The following is a 21,558-nucleotide window of genomic DNA, read 5'->3' on the forward strand; positions in this document are numbered from 1 at the left end:
TGAAGCATAACTACTGCAATTGCAAATGCACAGATTAATAAAGCAAGTCCGAGTCACTGTTCTTTCTTTCATTTTCTAAATCTTTGCTGGCTGTGATTTTAAGACATCAGTTCTGGTGAGAGAAGACAGTTTCCTTCCACTATTCCATCCCAACCTTTGCAGCAGAGGTTGCTGAGACCCCTTTTGAGGTGTGCGCCCCTGAGAGAGCTCTTTGATGTGTTGATTGTCGTCTATCACTGGGGTTGTCAAAAGAAGGGTTTCTGCTGCTGCTTCCAGTTTCTAGGCGCCCTCTAAGAGTTTGGGATCCTGATTCCTCCTCCACATGGTGCTCCTCCACTCAGTTTCTCTTTATTTGTGACTCATTTGTCCCTACAACAGGCAAGGGGCAGGTCATTCTCCAGCTATGGGCAGGGCCTTGTAGAAGGAAGACAGTTCAATAGGAGCTTTGGCCTTAAGGGGTACTAAGCCTAGGAAGCACCCAGGTTGACACTGAAGTTGGGCCTTGGTAATGGCTTTTCTCCCACCAAGAATTAGTAACAGCACTGCCACTCCCTCCGAACACTTCACATCTCATGTTTCATTCATTTATTCATCCATTCAACAAATATTTATTGACCAACTACTGTGGGGCCAGACACCATTCTAAGCATCAGAGATTCATCAGTGAACCAAAGAGAAAAGAACCCCTGCTGTCACAGAGCTTATGTTTTAGTGGAGGGAGAGTGACAGTCAATAAAATCAGTAAGTCAGTGGGTAAGTAAGGAAGGTGGTGAGTGCTATGGAGGAAAATCAGGTGGGGGAGGGTAAGTGACAAGCATCACTTTATGCAAGCCTTAGAATCTATGAAGCAGGCAGAAGCCCCATTTCACACAGAGACACAGAGGCTTAACGAGGTGAAATAATTTGTCCAAAGCGGCTGAACTAGTAAGCTGTAGGGTTGAGGTTGAAATCAAAGACCATCTCACTGCAGAGCAGTAACCGTTCTACCTTTCATTCCACATACCGCCTTTTCCCAACAAATTCTTCAAACGAAAAGCATTTTTATTAGCATTCATCTCTGAAAACTCTGTATTTTTAGTTCTTTAGAAATATCAGCCAATCACCAGAGCCTTGTGGGACTTACTTTTACTTACACTTAATCCCATTGCAAAAGGTTTCCATGCTGCTAGAGCCTGTCGGCTATTCAGCTTGACCTCTCATCTGCTGCAGTTGATGACTTCCTTTTTCCTGAAATGTCCCCCCTGCCCTCCACTTTCTAAGCCCTCTTAGCTTCTCTCCCTCCTTGGAGGGCTCCTCTTGCTCAACTTGCTCCATGACAAGCTGTGTTCCTGACTGCTCTGGCCTCTGGCCCCTGATCTTCTCCCAAACATCCTCCCTTGGTGGCCCTGGCCCTGTCCATAGTTCAATGCCTCACACATGCCAGTGTCCCCAGATTGCTACCACTGGCCCAAGCTCTGCTGAGCTATAAGGCTGTCTCTCAGGCTCCTAAATTCAACAAGTCTGAAGTGCAAGTTTTCTTCTTTTCCAGTTCTGCTTCCCAATAGAAACAATGTTAACACTGTCCATTCAGTCACTCCAAACTAAGCAAATGGCCCTAGACAGCCTCCACTCATTTACGGCTGCATCCCCTCAATCCCCGTCCGGTGGAATCCACCAGACTTCATCCCTGCCCCCTTGTCCCCTTGGCCCTACTTGACCTTAGACTTTCATCTTCTCACCTTCCCTCCCCAAGCCAGTCTGCTCTTGTTTCTGTCTTGTGCACTGCTGCCAGGGTGAACTTCATAAAATGTAAACTGGTTATATATTCCTAGCAAACATCCAATGGCACTTCAGTGTTTCTGGTCAAATGTCAAAACTCCAGCCCTCTGGGATCTAGTGTCTGCTTATCTCTGTCTTCCTATTCTTCTACTCCCTGCAGGTCACCCTTAGCTCCAGCCATTTGGAATTGCCTTCACTCACCTCAATATATGATGGCATTTCATTACTTTGGAGTTCCTAACTCCTGCTGGTCTGGCAAAATCCAACTCCCCTGGGAAGCTTTCTCTGACTCCCTGACTGAGCTACTCCTCTGTGTCCTCACATCCCATCCACCACACCACTTATCTCTCCTCTCTGCAATCCTCAATTTTCTTATCCATCTCCTTAACAAACTGTAAGCTACATGATATAGCTGTGCTTTGGCAGGTAGGGAACCTGGTTTGTCTCTATATCTTCCTTAACCGCAACAATGACTAGCATACAAAAGAGCCTCTCCATCACTGCACACTGTCAGATGCAATACGCAGACTGCCAAAATCAAGTTTGTGTTTTTGCTTTACAGTTCATACCAAAATCTATCTCACTTGAACTTATGGATCATGTTTAGCTAATGTTATGCAAATACTGAACCCTATTTCATAGCATGGAGTATGATTAAGAAAAAGAAAATATAAACAATGGTTTCAAATAGTGTTGCAAAGAGGAATTCCAGGACTTGTACTCATTTAATCAACAAACGTGAACACTGAGATATTTTCCTCTTGTCGGAAATGCCCTTAAGTCCAATGGACCTAATCCAATAGTTCAACCCTCTGAATCTTGCTTTTTCTTCTCTCCTCTCCTCTCCCTTTCTTTCTTTTCTTTCCCTTCTTTCTCTCTCTCTCTCTCTTTCTTTCTTTCATCTTGCTATGTTGCCCAAGCTAGTTTCAAACTCCTGGGCTCAAGCGATCCTCCTGCCTCAGCCTCCCCAGCAGCCGGAATTACAGGAGCACTACTGCACCCTGTCTTGTTTTTCTTATATGAACAATGTGGAATGGGACTAGATGACCTCCAAGGCATGTTCAGCTCTCACCATCCAAGGACCTGACATCAGTCTTTACTGACAGCCCATCATTTTTGCTCTGCATTCCAAAGCATCCTTTACCCCTGCTGTATATTCCTCTGCAGGTATCTGTCCAATCCACAAGCCAACAATCTCCCCTGCCCACATGGTCATAGGAAAGGCTCCTAGCATCCATGCAGTTACAATGTGACCCTGTCCTTCAGCCACAGTTGATTGGTCCTGGAATGGCCCCCTGACCCAGGGTGGGCCAACTAGAGGCCCTTCCCTGGGAATTCAGGCTTGACCTAAGATAGATAAGGTTCAGTCAAAGCTGTGGCAATAGCTACTCAACCATTCATTTATACTATTTATTGAGCATCTACAAAATGCAGGGCGCTGTTCTCATGCAGGGCAGAATGGGTCTCACAGAACTGCCTGGTTTCCTGATGGCTTTCCAGTTCTTAGTCTCAATCCTTACTGAGGCCTCTCTCATTGCTGTCCTTGGGCTCCCCAGGACATCCCATGGGCCTCATAATAAATTTTCCTTTCTTTAAGTTATTGCAATTTGTTGGCATCTTACTTCCAATGGAAAGACTTTTAACTTACCCCCTCACCACCAGCAGCTTTTCAAAGCCTACCTGAGCTTTGAAACTACCTTGCTCTAGTTCTCTTTGTGGTCCTCTTTTTGTTGCCACTTAAGGCAATGGGGGACTCATATCCACTCAAACAAGGGACCCAGAGGTAAGCACTGGGCTTTCTGTGAGTCTTTTTCATAGTTTTAAAATTGTTTTCCAATTAAGCATGGCCACATAAGAAATGAAAGAACAAAAAAAGAACTTCTTAAAAAGCACACATAAAAGGAGGTAAAAGGGCCTCATGCAGTTTCATTAGATAAAAACCCACCCTTCTCATGTCAATTTTAGCAGAGAAAGCATCTTGACAAATCATGTCCTTTAGTCAAAACAAGCTGAGGTCCAAACATATGGAGTAGATAGAAAATAAATTATTTTCAGGAGACTGAGATCCAAACCACAAATTCCAGAAATGCACTTTAAAAGTGCTGCCTATTAGACATGCTAGTTTTAAATTAAATTAATGTTGTAGGGAGAGGGGTAAGGTATGTCTTGATTTATTTGTTAGATCATTATCAAGCTTTCCTCTAAGGAGCTCAAGGTATTCCATGCACAAGGATTTTAGAGAAAAGGCTGTTTGAAGAATGTCAGGTTCTGCCAAAGCTGTTTCTCCCTAGTTTGCTAGAACCACTCCCTAGTGGGCTTCACACACTGCCCTTTGAAGCTGACAGCTTTGTGTGGCTAACCGCAAGTCTATCCTCTGGTTGAGAAGTACATCAAGTTACTTCAAACACTTTCTCAGAACTGCTGGAAAATGATCTAGTGGGTATACCTGCTCTTCTCCCCAGCTCATCTGGCTTACTTTATGGGACTTGATGGAGCAAACTTGGGAGAGGAAAGTTCCCTAGCTCAGTTTCTTATCCGGAAGTATTTTTAAAAATGTTATATTGTTAAAAAACATTATGGAAGAATAGCAAACAGGTCTTTCACTAACAAAGCCTTTCTGGGCTCACTTATTTTGAAACCAGCATAGAAGCATGAGTGACTTTTCCATCCTCTAGATTGGAGGGAAAACTCCTAGGATTAGCCAAACACTGCCTTGCCTAGCTGGACAGCCAAACATATTTAGGTGGGGTACAGATTGTATTTTCCAAAAGTGCCCATGACAGTATTTTCTGCTCCTCATGCTCTTGATCCACCTTTTTTTTTTATACTTTAAGTTTTAGGATACATGTGCACAACGTACAGGTTTGTTACATAAGTATACGTGTGCCATGTGGGTGTGCTGCACCCATTAACTCATCATTTAGCATTAGGTATATCTCCTAATGCTATCCCTCTCCCCTACCCCTACCCCACAACAGTCCCCAGTGTGTGATGTTCCCCTTCCTGTGTCCTTGTGTTCTCATTGTTCAATTCCCACCTATGAGTGAGAACATGCGGTGTTTGGTTTTTTGCCTTTGTGATACTTTGCTGAGAATGATGGTTTCCAGCTTCATCCATGTCCCTACAAAGGACATGAACTCATCCTTTTTTATGGCTGCATAGTATTCCATGGTGTATATGTGCCACATTTGCTTAATCCAGTCTATCATTGTTGGACATTTGGGTTGGTTCCAAGTCTTTGCTATTGTGAATAGTGCCGCAATAAACACACGTGTGCATGTGTCTTTATAGCAGCATGATTTCTAATCCTTTGGGTATATACCTAGTAATGGGATGGCTGGGTCAAATGGTATTTCTAGTTCTAGATGCCTGAGGAATCGTCACACCGATTTCCACAGTGGTTGCACTAGTTTACAGTGTGTAAAAGTGTTCCTATTTCTCCACATCCTCTCTAGCACCTGTTGTTTCCTGACTTTTAAATGATCGCCATTCTAACTGGTGTGAGATGATATCTCACTGTGGTTTTGATTTGCATTTCTCTGATGGCCAGTGGTGATGAGCATTTTTTCATGTGTTTTTTGGCTGCATAAATGTCTTCTTTTGAGAAGTGTTTGTTCATATGCTTGGCCCACTTTTTGATGGGGTTGTTTGTTTTTTTCTTGTAAATTTGTTGGAGTTCATTGTAGATTCTGGATATTAGCCCTTTGTCAGATGAGTAGATTGCAAAAATTTTCTCCCATTCTGTAGGTTGCCTGTTCACTCTGATGGTAGTTTCTTTTGCTGTGCAGAAGCTCTTTAGTTTAATGAGATCCCATTTGTCAATTTTGGCTTTTGTTGCCATTGCTTTTGGTGTTTTAGACATGAAGTCCTTGCCCATGCCTATGTCCTGAATGGTATTGCCTAGGTTTTCTTCTAAGTTTTTATGGTTTTAGGTCTAACATTTAAGTCTTTAATCCATCTTGAATTAATTTTTGTATAAGGTGTAAGGAAGGGATCCAGTTTCAGCTTTCTACATATGGCTAGCCAGTTTTCCCAGCACCATTTATTAAATAGGGATCCTTTCCCCATTGCTTGTTTTTGTCAGGTTTGTCAAAGATCAGATAGTTGTAGATATGCGGCATTATTTCTGAGGGCTCTGTTCTGTTCCATTGGTCTATATCTCTGTTTTGGTACCAGTACCACGCTGTTTTGGTTACTGTAGCCTTGTAGTATAGTTTGAAGTCAGGTAGCATGATGCCTCCAGCTTTGTTCTTTTGGCTTAGGATTGACTTGGCGATGTGGGCTCTTTTTTGGTTCCATATGAACTTTAAAGTAGTTTTTTCCAATTCTGTGAAGAAAGTCATTGGTAGCTTGATGGGGATGACATTGAATCTATAAATTACCTTGGGCAGCATGGCCATTTTCACGATATTGATTCTTCTTATCCATGAGCATGGACTGTTCTTCCATTTGTTTGTATCCTCTTTTATTTCACTGAGCAGTGGTTTGTAGTTCTCCTTGAAGAGGTCCTAAACGTCCCTTGTAAGTTGGATTCCTCGTATTTTATTCTCTTTGAAGCAATTGTGAATGGGAGTTCACTCATGATTTGGCTCTCTGTCTGTTATTGGTGTATAAGAATGCTTGTCATTTTTGCACATTGATTTTGTATCCTGAGACTTTGCTGAAGTTACTTATCAGCTGAAGGAGATTTTGGGCTGAGACGATGGGGTTTTCTAGATATACAATCATGTCATCTGCAAACAGGGACAATTTGACTTCCTCTTTTCCTAATTGAATACCCTTTATTTCCTTCTCCTGCCTGATTGCCCTGGCCAGAACTTCCAACACTATGTTGAACAGGAGTGGTGAGAGAGGGCATCCCTGTCTTGTGCCAGTTTTCAAAGGGAATGCTTCCAGTTTTTGCCCATTCAGTATGATATTGGCTGTGGGTTTGTCATAGATAGCTCTTATTATTTTGAGAAACGTCCCATCAATACCTAATTTATTGAGAGCTTTTAGTGTGAAGTGTTGTTGAATTTTGTCAAAGGACTTTTCTGCATCTATTGAGAAAATCATGTGGTTTTTGTCTTTGGTTCTGTTTATAGGCTGGATTAAGTTTATTGATTTTCATATGTTGAACCAGCCTTGCATCCCAGGGATGAAGCCCAGTTGATCATGGTGGATAAGCTTTTTGATGTGTTGCTGGATTTGGTTTGCTAGTATTTTATTGAGGATTTTTGCATCAATGTTCATCAAGGACATTGGTCTAAAATTCTCTTTTTTTGTTGTGTCTGCCAGGCTTTGGTGTCAGGATGCTGCTGGCCTCATAAAATGAGTTAGGGAGGATTCCCTCTTTTTCTATTGACTGGAATAGTTTCAGAAGGAATGGTACCAGCTCCTCCTTGTACCTCTGGTAGAATTCAACTGCGAATCCATCTGGTCCTGGACTTTTTTTGGTTGGTAAGCTATTAATTATTGCCTCAATTTCACAGCCTGTTATTGGTCTATTCAGAGATTCAACTTCTTCCTGGTTTAGTCTTGGGAGAGTGTATGTGTCGAGGAATTTATCTATTTCTTCTAGATTTTGTAGTTTATTTGCGCAGAGGTGTTTATAGTATTCTCTGATGGTAGTTTGTATTTCTGTGGGATTGGTGGTGATATCCCCTTTGTCATTTGTTATTGCGTCTATTTGATTCTTCTCTCTTTTCTTCTTTATTAGTTTTGCTAGCAGTCTATCATTGTTGATCTTTTCAAAAAACCAGCTCCTGGATTCATTGATTTTTTGAAGGGTTTTTTGTGTCTCTATTTCCTTCAGTTCTGCTCTGATCTTAGTTATTTCTTGCCTTCTGCTAGCTTTTGAATGTGTTTGCTCTTGCTTCTCTAGTTCTTTTAATTGTGATGTTAGGGTGTCAATTTTAGATCTTTCCTGCTATCTCTTGTGGGCATTTAGTGCTATAAATTTTCCTCTACACACTGCTTTGAATGTGTCCCAGAGATTCCGGTATGTTGTGTCTTTGTTCTCATTGGTTTCAAAGAACATCTTTATTTCTGCCTTCATTTCGTTATGCACCCAGTAGTTATTCACCAGCAGGTTGTTCAGTTTCCATGTAGCTGAGCGGTTTTGAGTGAGTTTCTTAATCCTGAGTTCTAGTTTGATTGCACTGTGGTCTGAGGGACAGTTTGTTATAATTTCTGTTCTTTTACATTTGCTGAGGAGTGTTCTACTTCCAACTATGTGGTCAATTTTGGAATAGGTGTGGTGCGGTGCTGAAAAGAATGCATATTCTGTTGATTTGGGGTGGAGAGTTCTGTAGGTGTCTATTAGGTCTGCTTGGTGCAGAGCTGAGTTCAATTCCTGGATATCCTTGTGAATTTTCTGTCTTGTTGATCTGTCTAATGTTGACAGTGGGGTGTTAAAGTCTCCCACTATTATTGTGTGGGAGTCTAAGTCTCTTTGTAGGTCTCTAAGGACTTGCTTTATGAATCTGGGTGCTCCTGTATTGGGTGCATATATATTTAGGATAGTTAGCACTTCTTGTTGCATTGATCCCTTTACCACTATGTAATGGCCTTGTCTCTTTTGATCTTTGTTGCTTTAGAGTCTGTTTTATCCAAGACTAGGATTGCAACCCTTGCCTTTTTTTGTTTTCCATTTGCTTGGTAGATCTTCCTCCATCGCTTTATTTTGAGCCTATGTGTGTCTCTGCATGTGAGATGGGTTTCCTGAATACAGCACACTGATGGGTCTTGACTCTTTATCCGATTTGCCAGTCTGTACCTTTTAATTGGAGCATGTAGCCCATTTACATTTAAGGTTAGTATTGTAATGTGTGAATTTGATCCTGTCATTATGATGTTAGCTGGTTATTTTGCTCTTTAGTTGATGCAGTTTCTTCCTAGCCTCGATAGTCTTTACAATTTGGCATGTTTTTGCAGTGGCTGGTACCGGTTGTTCCTTTCCATGTTTAGTGCTTCTTTCAGGAGCTCTTTTAGGGCAGGCCTGGTGGTGACAAAATCTCTCAGCATTTGTTTGTCTGTAAAGGATTTTATTTCTCCTTCACTTATGAAGCTTAGTTTGGCTGGATATGAAATTCTGGGTTGAAAATTCTTTTCTTTAAGAATGTTGAATACTGGCCCCCACTCTCTTCTGGCTTGTGGAGTTTCTGCGGAGAGATCTGCTGTTAGTCTGATGGGCTTCCCTTTGTGGGTAACCCGACCTTTCTCTCTGGCTGCCCTGAACATTTTTTCCTTCATTTCAACTTTGGTGAATCTGACAATTATGTGTCTTGGAGTTGCTCTTCTCGAGGAGTATCTTTGTGGCGTTCCCTGTATTTCCTGAATTTGAATGTTGGCCTGCCTTGCTAGATTGGGGAAGTTCTCCTGGATAATATCCTGCAGAGTGTTTTCCAACTTGGTTCCATTCTTCCCGTCACTTTCAGGTACATCAGTTAGACGTAGATTTGGTCTTTTCATATAGTCCCATATTTCTTGGAGGCTTTGTTCATTTCTTTTTATTCTTTTTTCTCTAAACTTCTCTTCATGCTTCATTTCATTCATTTCATCTTCCATCGCTGATACCCTTTTTTCCAGTTGATCGCATCGGTTACTTAGGCTTGTGCATTCGTCACGTAGTTCTCGTGCCGTGGTTGTCAGCTCCATCAGGTCCTTTAAGGACTTCTCTGCATTGGTTATTGTAGTTATACATTTGTCTAATTTTTTTTCAAAGTTTTTAACTGCTTTGCCATGGGTTTGAACTTCCTCCTTTAGCTCGGAGTAGTTTGATCTTCTGCAGCCTTCCTCTCTCAACTCGTCAAAGTCATTCTCCGTCCAGTTTTGTTCCGTTGCTGGTGAGGAGCTGCGTTCCTTTGGAGGAGGAGAGGCGCTCTGATTTTTCGAGTTTCTGGTTTTTCTGCTCTGTTTTTTCCCCATCTTTGTGGTTTTATCTACCTTTGGTCTTTGATGATGGTGACGTACAGATGGGTTTTTGGTGTGGATGTCCTTTCTGTTTGTTAGTTTTCCTTCTAACAGTCAGGACTGTCAGCTGCAGGTCTATTGGAGCTTACTGGAGGTCCACTGTTTGCCTGGGTATGAGCAGCGGTGGCTGCAGAACAGTGGATATTGGTGAACCGCAAATGCTGCTGCCTGATCGTTCCTCTGAAAGTTTTGTCTCAGAGGAGTACCCGGCCGTGTGAGGTGTCAGTCTGCCCCTACTGGGAGGTGCCTCCCAGTTAGGCTACTCGGGGGTCAGGGACCCACTTGAGGAGGCATTCTGCCGGTTCTCAGATCTCAAGCTGCGTGCTGGGAGAACCACTACTCTCTTCAAAGCTGTCAGACAGGGACATTTAAGACTGCAGAGGTTATTGCTGTCTTTTGTTTGTCTGTGCCCTGCCCCCAGAGGTGGAGCCTACAGAGGCAGGCAGGCCTCCTTGAGCTGTGGTGGGCTCCTCCCAGTTCGAGCTTCCCTGTCGCTTTGTTTACCTACTGAGGCCTGAGCAATGGCGGGCACCCCTCCCCCAGCCTCGCTGCCGCCTTGCAGTTTGATCTCAGTCTGCTGTGCTAGCAATGAGGGAGAGGCTCCGCGGGCGCAGGACCCTCTGAGCCAGGTGTGGGATATAATCTCCTGGTGTGCCGTTTGTTAAGCCCATTGGAAGAGCACAGTATTAGGGTGGGAGTGACCCGATTTTCCAGGTGCTGTCTGTCACCCCTTTCTTTGACTAGGAAAGGAAACTCCCTGACCCCTTGCACTTCCCAGGTGAGGCGATGCCTCGACCTGCTTTGGCTCATGCACGGTGCACTGCACCCAGTGTCCTGCACCCGCTGTCCGGCATTCCCTCGTGAGATGAACCCGGTACCTCAGTTGGAAATGCAGAAACCACCCATCTTCTGCATCACTCACGCTGGGAGCTGTAGACTGGAGCTGTTCCTATTTGGCCATCTTGGCTCCACCCCCGGCTCTTGATCCACTTTCAAGAGGAAGAGTGCAGGTCCCCTCCACTTTAACCTGGGTGGGCATTTTTGATGGCCCTGACAAATAGAGCACAGTGCTGTGGAAGTGATGTTATGTGGCACTTAAGGCTAGGCCATAAAATACAATACATCTGAATCCTGGCTGTCTCCTAGGATGCTGGCCCTTGGAATGCAGCTGCCATATTGCAAGAAAGCTTGGCCACATGAGAATGGCCACATGGAAAGAAACTGAGGCCCCTCACTGCCAGCTGCCACTCAGCATCTACTTTCTGACTATATGAATGAGCCATCTTGGAGGTGAATCCTTCCCTACTGAGCTCTAACCAGAGTGCAGATTCATGAGTAAAATGAATGATCAATATTATTTTAAATCAATGATTTGGGATGACTTGTTATGTAGCAATAGATAAGCAGAACAGGTGGAGATGAAAGGCTTCTCTGGACAATCTGATTTCAACAGGAATGCATGCTAAATGCTGCAAAGAAAGTAAGTTCAACCAGTTGCAATATGATGCAAATGAAATTCTGACTCTAGTAAAGGCAAAATCCAGCTACCCTGACTTTCCTATCGCAGAGGATTTGTTTGATGCAGATAATCTTACATACACAGGTATTTTTCTTAACTTTCGCTGCCTGCAAAAATGTACATAAATAAGATTGAGTTCTGTGAGCCATTTCCAAGTACCTGGAATGGAGGTCTCCATTTCCCTGCAGTGCTGAGGCTGCCCAAGGAGCAGCAGCAAACCTTTGCAGAGCACAGCTCTTGCTCATTCCCCATACGTGGAGACTGCACTGCTGAAGTGCTCCTGGGAGAGTTGGGGGCCTGAGTAGCTTGGGGCTTCTGCCTCTGTGTTGGCCAGGGTCTAGCCCTGCTGACCTCCATTCCTGTGAAACAGCTTGTCATGGCATGTGTCCAGAATTTCACTGGCTCCCTACAGTTTGCCCCAGAAGGACAGTCTATATCTCCCAAGACTGAGGAGCTCAACAAGTTACTCACAGTGGAGAAGAAAAAGGGGAGTCTGGAAAAACACGTCACTGCCTTATAAACATGGCTTCCCACAGGCACAGCAAAAGAAGAGCACTCAGCACTCTATGTCTTTCTGACAAGAGCAAATCAGTAGTGAAATATGAAATGTTTGTGACTTCTTCTTTGGGGGGCAGTGTATCTATTCTCTTCTATTTAATTCACTTATTCACCCAACAATTAGGCTTTGTGCCCCAAATGCTTGAGCACTGGCTATGTACAGGCATACAAGGGTATTCAAGGTGGCTCTTTTCAGACATCACAGTGTGGCAGGGATACAAATCCATAAAAATAATAATAGCAAATACTTACGTAGTACTTACTACGCGCCAGACACTGTTCTGAGTGCTTTATATGCATTCATTGATTTAATTCTCATAATAGCCCCCCAAAGTAGATGCTATTATCATCCCCGATCTATAGATGATGACACTTAGGCACAAAGATGTGCCCAAGGTCACATAGTTAGTAAACGGTGGAGCTTGGGTTCTAACCAAGGTAGTGTGACTCCAGATGTGTTACCACTACTTTCTGTTGGCTCTTGTAAACAAACACAGTAGAATGAAGTGATTGCTATTAGCATAGCTTATAGTAGACGTCATGAGGAAGGAATGCATGAAAAGAGACAGCTGTCTATCATTTATAAAATCTAACTTAAAAAATAAAGATGTTAAATAGGAAAGAGCCTCAAATCTCCCTTTGTGTCACTCATCCTCCTATGTGACCACTCTGTGAGGTCACATTTTTCCTCTCGATTCCTTGAATTTCTCAGTCTACAAAATACACCCCTTTATTTCTGTTCTGTTCTCTAGAGAAACAAAGAAGTTGGAAGAAACAGACTTGCACACTGTCAGCGTGGAAAGGAGAAGAGAGCATCAGATTTCTTTGACAGAGGTAGAGGCAGGCTTCCTTCCCCTTGTGCACATCAATGCATGGTGGGCGAGGCAAGAGCGAGTGGGCTGCTGCTTCTTTGGGGTTACCTACAGATGAAATAATGACCAGCTTTGCCTTGCTTAGTAGCTGCTGGAAAGGAGGGTCAGGGCCTCCTTTGAGGGTCACTGGAGTTCAGTGATGGGGCTGCTACCTTGCATCCCCTGTGAAACTGAGATAGAAGCTTTTGGCTTAAGGGCAGTAGTTGGAAAGAGGAACCAGTGACTTGAAGCTGTGCTGCATTCTGAATAAGGACTAAAACAGGTCCAGCCTAACCACTCTCCCAACTTTTGGTGAGCCTCTGTTGTTTGTAAGGCCTATACAGGTGCCGACCGCTGAGGATGCAGAAAAGAATAAGACCCAGATCAGCTTTCTGATTCTCACAGTGATAGCTCTCACATTCTTTTGATAAATAAGAAAACATTTAAATCATGCGTGTGTATCTATGTGCAACTGGGTTGTGTTATTTTACCTTGCTAGATGCAGTGAACTCTGATCTAATCTGTTCTATTCTTTTTCATTTAAAAACATGCTGATTAAAACCATTAAATTGATATCTTGACCCACTAATGTGCAGTGAATCAAGTTGTGCAGTTAGAAAAACGCTAGCATGAAGAAAAACATTAGTCTGGAGAAAGGTACCTAATATGTATAGTTACAAAACAGTGTATGAGTGCAGCTACAAAAGTATGAACAAAATGTATAGAGCCCTGAAGAAGCCACATGGGGCCTGGACAACACTCTCCTGTATTCTTTTCATCACCCGCTGTGAGGGCACACACTCCACACCCCACGGGAATAACTGCTGGCTCTCTTTCCCAGCACATCTCTCACCAGCCTCTCAATCTGCCCTCATCCCCGCACAGTCTATAGACCCTGCTTCCGGGTGTCCCTGAGCCAACATCATCACGAAACCATCTATGAGTTCAGGAACAGGACAGAGATGGATGAGCGGCTCAGCTAGAGCCTTTCAAGTTCTAGAATTATCCCATTTGTACGGCAGCACCCTGAGCACAGGAAGGATTCCGCATTGATAACTTTATTCACCAGGCTTTGCCTTTTTGTGTCTTTCTGGCTCAGCACTGGTGGGTCTTCAGTGAGAAGTGGAGGAGGGAGCAGATTCCAGAGGAACAGAGCAGAGCAGCAAGCGACAAGAAAGAAATGAGCAATAACTGTTGGTAGCTAATACACAATGAAGATGCAATGTGTACACGCAACTCAACTCTAATGCACACATTTATTCTCCTGGGGAGCGCTGCCAATGAGTCCCAGGGCCAAGTCGCAGAGACACAGATGAGGTAGCAGCAGATGACCTCGAGGGAGTTCACTCACACTGGCTGTCTTGATGACCAGCCCAGGCATAGATTTTATTCATGAGCTGGATAGATACTGGAAAGGCAGAGCATTTGTGCTAATGAGTAACCATGAAGGAAACCAGAAAGAATAACATATGAGTATATGAATACTTAACTTCCAAGAAAATGCCTGGCAGCCTCCTGGAGCCAAGAAATGTGGTTAAGAGCTAGGCTTTGGAATAAGAGTGACCTTGGGACAAATTCTGGTGTCACTATTTCCTGTGTGCTCTTAGGAAAACGCCTGAGAACAGAGGAGAGTAAGACCCAATCCCAGCCTTCTGGAGGTTCACATCTACTGCTTAACATTTCTGGGCCTCAGTTTCCTCACTGGTAAACAGGGATAATGATAGGACCTACATTCTAAGGCTGTCATGAGGATCAATATCAGAATGAATGGTAAGAACTTGGCTGAACCGTGATACACACTGATCACAGGTTCTCTGTATAACTTTGGATAGTAAGAGGTGATGGAAAACAACACGAAGAAGGCTGGTAAATGGTTATAACCATGTTAGACTCCATCTGCATTTTGCATCCTCCTCTTCTGGAGAGCCTTAAAGCAGAGTGGTAGACATCTTCTCTTGATGGCCTCACCTCTATCTCAAAGAAGTAGCTCTTTGGGAAATTACAGTCAGTGTCTCAAAGCCCTACTGGGTGTTCCTCTTTAAGTTCATTCCAATTTTGTTCAAACCCCAACACATACGCCAGAGGTAACTCTTTGCTCTACTGTGTGGAATTGTAGGAGGGTTCAGCCACGGAGAAGGCCCATTTAGAAACCAAACAAAATGGCTCTCCTTTGGGGGCTGGAGTGGACAGGGCTTTGTTGCCAGCCCACCAGAACTCTCCCCCACCCCCTGTAGATAGATGAGATGCCCTGGCAACTGAGAACTGAGGCCTCACAGCTAAAGGCTGAGGAATGGATCCTGACAGCTGCTGGGAGAACATAAATTCCTTTTTCTTAAATCCATTACTTGGAAACCTCCCTTTGAGATCAGTCTTAAGCTGGCAGAGCATTTTGTCACGAGCCCTAACACTGGGGGTTTGAAATGGAGAGAAACACAACAGCCCAGTGCTGCCCAGGACGATTCTAAACATCTTCCTAGGTGGAACCTGCTTGAGGACAGTGGAGCAGGAAGAGATGTAGAAAACACTCTGCAGAATTTGAAAGGGTCATTAAAAAATAAACTCCAAAATAAACATGATCAACAACAACAACAAGTGACACTCTTGTTTCATCAAACAGTGACAGAAAATGCAGGTGGATATTCCTTACACAACACGACTCTGTTCTATAATATATTCCATATTCTCCTCAGGAAGGATTGTAAAGTCCATTAGTGTATTAAAGGCACTGTGATGTTGGACTGTAAAGAAACAATCAAATTTGTTATTTAAGCCAGTGTTTCTGGAACATATTTGATCAAAGATCCCTTTGGCTAAGAAACAGTTATTTCTGTGGAACATCTTTGGACAAAGAGCAGAGTTAGGGCCTCCTGTCACCTACACTGCAACTCTCCAAGGGCAGGTGGGGTGGAGCCTTCATTTGTACCCTTGGCCAGACCCCCCTGTACAGGGTCTGACTGCACCACAGACACAGCAGCCTGTCTGGGAGAGGGCATATTGGCATTTGGGCCATCCTCAGACCTTACTAACCAGGCTCTGAAAGTCCACACTTGATATTTTAGTCTCTCTTCAGGGTAAAGCCATGCCTGTGAATGAAAGAAAAGAATGCTCAAGTGGAAAAGGTTGGAAACCGTGTCTAGTCTGGAAGTTTCTGTACCAACTAGCCACCATGAAGGGCTACTCAGGATAGGGAGACACTGGCCAATTCTGGGCCTACTTATACCAACTCAGAAGTCCCTAAACACTTTGGAGAGGCTGATTACACTGCTTTATTAAAAAATATAGAAGGAAAATGCACCAACCAGGCACTGCAACAGAAGTTGCTGAAAATTGGGAACAGCAGGAAGGAGACCTGCAGGTCCGCTCCAGCAGGCTTACTGCTTGGTTTAGAGTCTGATTGTCTGGCGTCTGTCCTCTGGGTTTTGGAGTGGAACAGTTTTCCTGGAATATGCATTTATTGAACTCTGAAAGGCCAGATCTCTTAGGTAGATTAATTCATGATTTCAAAGATGCTTTGATGCTGGCAAAACATTCTGTTACTTCCAAGAGTTATTACAAGTGAAATCCTGGCATGGACTGAGAGGTCAGCCTGTAATCTTATTGAAATCTTTTTAGATTTAGAAACTCTACAGTAGGTTAAAAATAGATCACATTTGTGTACTTTTTCCTCCTTTCATCCCCACTTCAAGGGTTGTTCAGTTATTTTGACCCACCCCAGATATCAGCCAGATAAATTCTGACACTTGTCGCCTAGGAGTCTGCCAGTCCAAAAGTCATTTCCAAGTGGGTTTTGAGGTGATGCTAGCCATAGGACTGAGCAGAGCCGCTCATCATCCTACATAATCAGTTCTAGAATTAAGAGCAAAGGGCTGTCACTAAGACCGGTGTGTGCTATGTGGATTCATTTTAAGTGAAAACATAGGCTGCAAGGAGGAGAGTTTTCAATAGTGCTGTCCCAGAGAGATTGTGTCCTCCACCTTAGACCACATGTGCTGACCAGAAAAGACCACAGTGCTCAGGTCAGAAGAAGCTGTATGACGCTAACAGGTCAGGCTGCTTATAATCAAAAGATAAAGATTGCCCTTGATTTTAGAAGAGCCAAAATACCAAATGTTATCTGTATGGTGCTGGCTAGGGTTAACAGGGTGCCAGCATTTTCATGCCCAGCAAAGAGAACATTTCTACACTCAGGATTACCTCTCCATGGTTACTTTACCTTCATGAACATGCTAAATCCAGTTTTAAGGAGATCAGTGAGGCCTGAAGACATGTGTTCAATATCAACGGAATCTGGCCTCTCGGGATGAAATATTTCCTCCACAACTTGCTTCAACAATGGCTTATAAGATGCCTGGAAAGACAAAATACTATGAGTAAAGGGATTGTTTGGTTTGTCTGGAGAGAGGACAGCTTTATCTGCAATGAAGAAAGCAAAGCAAGTTTATTTTGATACTGAGCAATGCCTATATGTGTGTGTGTGTGTGTGTGTGTGTGTGTGTGTGTCACAGAAAAGACAATATAACAACATTGGGCTTTTAAATAAACTTTCACCCCAATGCTTTAGCATGCTTTTCTGCTTCTCATGCTCCCTTCTACAAGCAAATATATCTTACCAGAGCTATAATCATACTATGACTAATTTTTCTATTTAAAGTGACAATTTTATGTATACTGAGAAACAAAGTACTGTTGTTTGATACAGACATGAAGACATGAAGATGGTCTCCAGTTTTTCCTGAACATTCTTAGCATTATGCTCTCCTCTGCTAGGAACTCCAATGTTATTTACAATGTGCTGTCAATAACCAAGCTTAAAGCAATCCCTCTTCCTTCTACAGAGCTCAATTCCCAAGTATGACTTGGCCAGGAAAAGAAGCTAAGATGACATAAAGGAATCTGACAAAGGTCAGAAAGCAGACTACATGGTATCATAAGAATTTCAGTAGAATTAGGGAGATGTTAGTTTGCAACAACTTCTACAGTTTGATAAATTCTGCTAAATGCCTTCCTTTTCTGTAACCTGAATAACCCGTCCATGTTTAGGTTATATGGGGAGCCAGCCGCCTTATTGACCCTGCGCTTTCTGAGCTGTTTTTCACCACCTCTTTCCTTAGTTCTTGCTGCCAAGTTCTTCCCGTTTTCTTTTCTCGCTTGGTGGACCACCTTCCTCCCAATCCTCCAGTCAGATATGGCACGAAGTCTGGGGCATGAAGGGCAAAGGAGGAAGGAATATCTTCCCTCAATGCACTCTCTGATCTATTATAGCTTCAGTAAAGCCAGTTTCTAACAGGGCACAGTTGAGGCATATCCTGTATTAAACTCTTTCTCTCTCTGATTGGCCAAATATGTGACTTGTCTGTAGCAACTGTCAAGGATATTTAGTGTACTGACCTCATTCCTGGCTTCATCTTGCTTTTCTTCCAGTCATTTTTTTTTACTCAAATTTTCCCTTTCCAATTTTCTTGTTTTAAATAGCTTAGAAATAAAGCAAGGTATAAACCATTAAAATCATAAATAACCATTCAGCAGGAATATAGTTGGCATCTTTCCCAGGGATAAGATGCAGGGAAAACTAGCATCTTCTCACTTGGGGATACCAACCTTTTTATGCTTATTAGTCAAACAGACCATTGTTTGTCCAGAGATCTCATGGTTACATGATCAGGAAGGGCAAGGCAATGAACAGAAACACCGGTCAGACAGAAATATTTTGAAAACTATGGATCCACCTTGCTCATAAAGAAATTGCAATTAAAGCTATGCCAAGATGGAATTTTTTTTTAAATCAGACTATTGACACTCCAAAAGTTTGAAAATACACTCTTTTGATGAGGCCATGGGGTAACAGGCCCTCTTATACATTGCTGGTGGGAGGGTTAATTGTTACCATCAATGCAGAGAGCAATTCGGTAATACCTATCAATATTACAGATGCATTCAACATAGCAATCACACTCCTAGTCATTTATTCTTTGCATATGCTCATGTATGCAAATGAGATCCAAAAAGGCTGTTTATTGTTTGTAGTACCAAGATTAGAAACCACCCAAGTGCCATCAGTAGGGAGCTGTTTAATAAATGGGGTGCATCCACAGGGAGGAATGCCATGAAAGAGAATAAGAAAGCTCTGTGCTTGTGTGGCAGAAACAAGGTACAGAATAGTGTGTGAATGAAAAAAGCAAGGTGAGGATACTGTGTATGATGGGTTAGCATTTGTGTAAAAAGTGGCAGGGGGAATACGGAAGTTTAAATTGCTGAAATATGCAAAAATAAGCTCCGGTGTGAAACATAGTAACTATCAGCAGCAATGATTATGGGGTGGCGGACCAAGCAAGGGAGAAAGGTGAGAGGAAGACTTTTCATTGTATTGTTTATTTATTTATTTATTTACAGCACAGTTTAAAGCACCACTACAAACGGCAAGAATGATCTCAATTGTTAAAAATTAATAAATTATTTATGCATGAAAAAGAGATTGGGGTAAAGCACACCAAAATGTTATTTAGGGTTATCTCTAGGTTCAGGAAGTAGGAGACATTTATTTTATTTTTCCAGATTTTCCAAAATTAAGAGGTCTACTTCCAGAATCGTAAGATAATTTAATAAATATTATTTTAAATGTAAAAAAAGGGCCATGGAATCTGAATCCTGCAAATCCTGCAAATACTCTTCCCTGAGTAAACTGTTCTGAATGCTCTTCTATCACCTTAGCCTTTCTGGACATTGACTCGCTTAAACTTCAATCTCTTTAAAGCTCCTCCACAAGAAGTCCTTTGGCCAATAATCTGATACCTTATCGGCACTATCATCAAATAATAATTGACCTCTTCCTTGGTAATAGACTTCAATCTTCAGCCATGCACATTACCAGCTGGCTAAAAGACTACATTCTCCAGCCTTCCTTGCAGCTGACTATAGCCATGTAATTAAGGTTTGGGCAATGAGATGTAAATAGAGTAATGTGAGAATTTCAGAAGTCTCCTTTTTAAAATGGAAGGATATGCTTTTCTCTTTTCCTCTTCTCTGCTGGCTGGAATGTAGAAGTGAAGCCTGGAGCTCCAGCAGCCATCTTGGAAGACAGGACATTCCTTAGAGATGGTGAAGCAGAGAGCTGGAGAAACCTTGGTAAGTGATGACTTATAGAGCCACTATCACCATAACATGGACAGGCTAAATTAGTACCTACTTTACATGTCACTATAAAACCTTGTATGTTTAAGCCACTGTTTTTCAGATCTCTGTTACTTGTAACTGAATGAAATTCTGATAGAAAGCATGAAGGGAACATAAAGATATAAAAGGACATTTCCTCCTTCCAGAAGCTTACAGTTATTTATTTTATTAGTCTATTAAAACTCATTAGCAGAATCACAGAGAAATACACATAGGCTGTCATATTTAAGAGAGAAGAAAATATACCCCTGATATGGTTTGGCTGTGTCCCTACCCAAATCTCATCTTGAATTGTAGCTCCCATAATCCCCACATGCAGCAGGAGGGACCTGGTGGGAGGTAGTTTAGTCATGGGGGCGGTTACACTCATGCTGTTCTCATGACAGTGGGAGAGTTCTTATGAGATCCGATGGTTTTACAAGCAGCTTTTCCCCCTTTTGCTCAGCACTTATCCCTGATGCTGCTGTGAAGAAGAGCACGTTTGCTTCCCCTTCTGCCATGATTGTAAGTTTCCTGAGGCCTCCCAAGCCCTGTGGAACTGTGAGTCAATTAAACCTCTTTTCTTTATAAATTACTCAGTCTCGGGAATGTCTTTATTAGCAGCATGAGAACGGACTAATGCAACCCCTTAACCCATAAAAAAAAAAAATAGATTGTCATTCTCCATAAGATGTCCTGTACAAAAAGGAAGAGTAGTGATTCTGAAAAAGAGATCATACACAGCACAAAGGTGGCTCTGTAATTAAGCAAAAACACTATATTCTGTACCTCCTCTGTGCAAGGCACAGTGTATCTGGGGTGATAGGATTTGTTCTCAGGGGTCCTGTGACCCAGTGTAGACTGGGAGACAGGGGAAAGCAGGAGTTATGGAGGGATTGGGGTAAGTAGGGACACTAGGATCACTCTCACTCTTTCCCTTGCTCCACTTTTGACTAAATTTTGGGGAATGAAACATCCAGGAGAAAATGCTCACTGAGCTGGGTTCTCCTTGGGGGTAGTGAGCAGAGATTTTAGAAGTGCTGTTTTCTCAACCTCTTCATTCTTGAGACTTTGTGATTGTTCTGTGCTACACTGGGAATGTTGGAAATCTTTTTTGTTTTTTATTTTTTTAAGGTATGTAGGTGCACATTTATATAGCAGGAGAAAAGAAACTATGATTTAAAATACAGAAAAGTAACAGCAAACACATCACATAATCCAGGAAAAGAACATAAATGCTTTTATTAATTGCCTGACCTACCTCTTTGATATTCATTTCTTACATTTTTTGGTTGCATTCTCTCTGATTATCTTTTCATATAACAACAATTTTGAAATAACATTTTCTATGAAAATGTGATAGTTATCAAGCTATTGTCTCTCAATTCCAAACCCTCTCTTCTAGACTCAGTTCTGTGATGCTGGGCTGAGACTCTGAAAACCACTTCTGTGCTTTGCCAGCTAGGTCTGTTAGACTCTGCCGATAGGGGGCACTCGAGGGAGACCAGAAGGCAGGAAGAACAGGCAGGAACTTGCTTCTCCTGTTTATTTGCAATTCCTGCCACCATCACCCTGGCGATGGCCTCTCACCACTTGAAGCTGCCCCTCCTCTAGACTTTTAAGTCATAGGATTTAATAAATTACCTTTCTTTTTTTTTCAAGCTCAAAGTGGCATTTTATTTAGTAAACAATCAGTATGCATAATGCTATAATAGTAACAGAAGCTGAGTAAGTCTACAAACAAAACAAAACATGACAAATCTTGAACAC

General features: G+C 42.6%; 1 protein-coding gene across 1 annotated transcript in view, besides 1 other annotated feature; it reads right to left on the minus strand.

Moving 5' to 3' along the window:
* The window catches only part of SCFD2 (sec1 family domain containing 2), a 493,080-nt gene that overhangs the window by 17,623 nt on the left and 453,899 nt on the right, over nucleotides 1–21,558 (minus strand). The window contains exon 7 of the mRNA NM_152540.4: nucleotides 16,853–16,987. Within this exon, the coding sequence (NP_689753.2) occupies nucleotides 16,853–16,987 (135 nt within the window). The remainder of the gene's footprint in view (nucleotides 1–16,852; nucleotides 16,988–21,558) is intronic.
* Nucleotides 21,329–21,418: an enhancer, noted in NCBI's record as "active region_21558". NCBI's record gives its function as "activates an Ori minimal core promoter by ATAC-STARR-seq in GM12878 lymphoblastoid cells {active_cell/tissue: GM12878}" and the evidence as "EXISTENCE:reporter gene assay evidence [ECO:0000049][PMID:35858748]".

The sequence above is a fragment of the Homo sapiens genome, chromosome 4, assembly GCF_000001405.40.
Source record: "Homo sapiens chromosome 4, GRCh38.p14 Primary Assembly".
NCBI classification, from domain to species: Eukaryota; Metazoa; Chordata; class Mammalia; order Primates; family Hominidae; genus Homo; species Homo sapiens.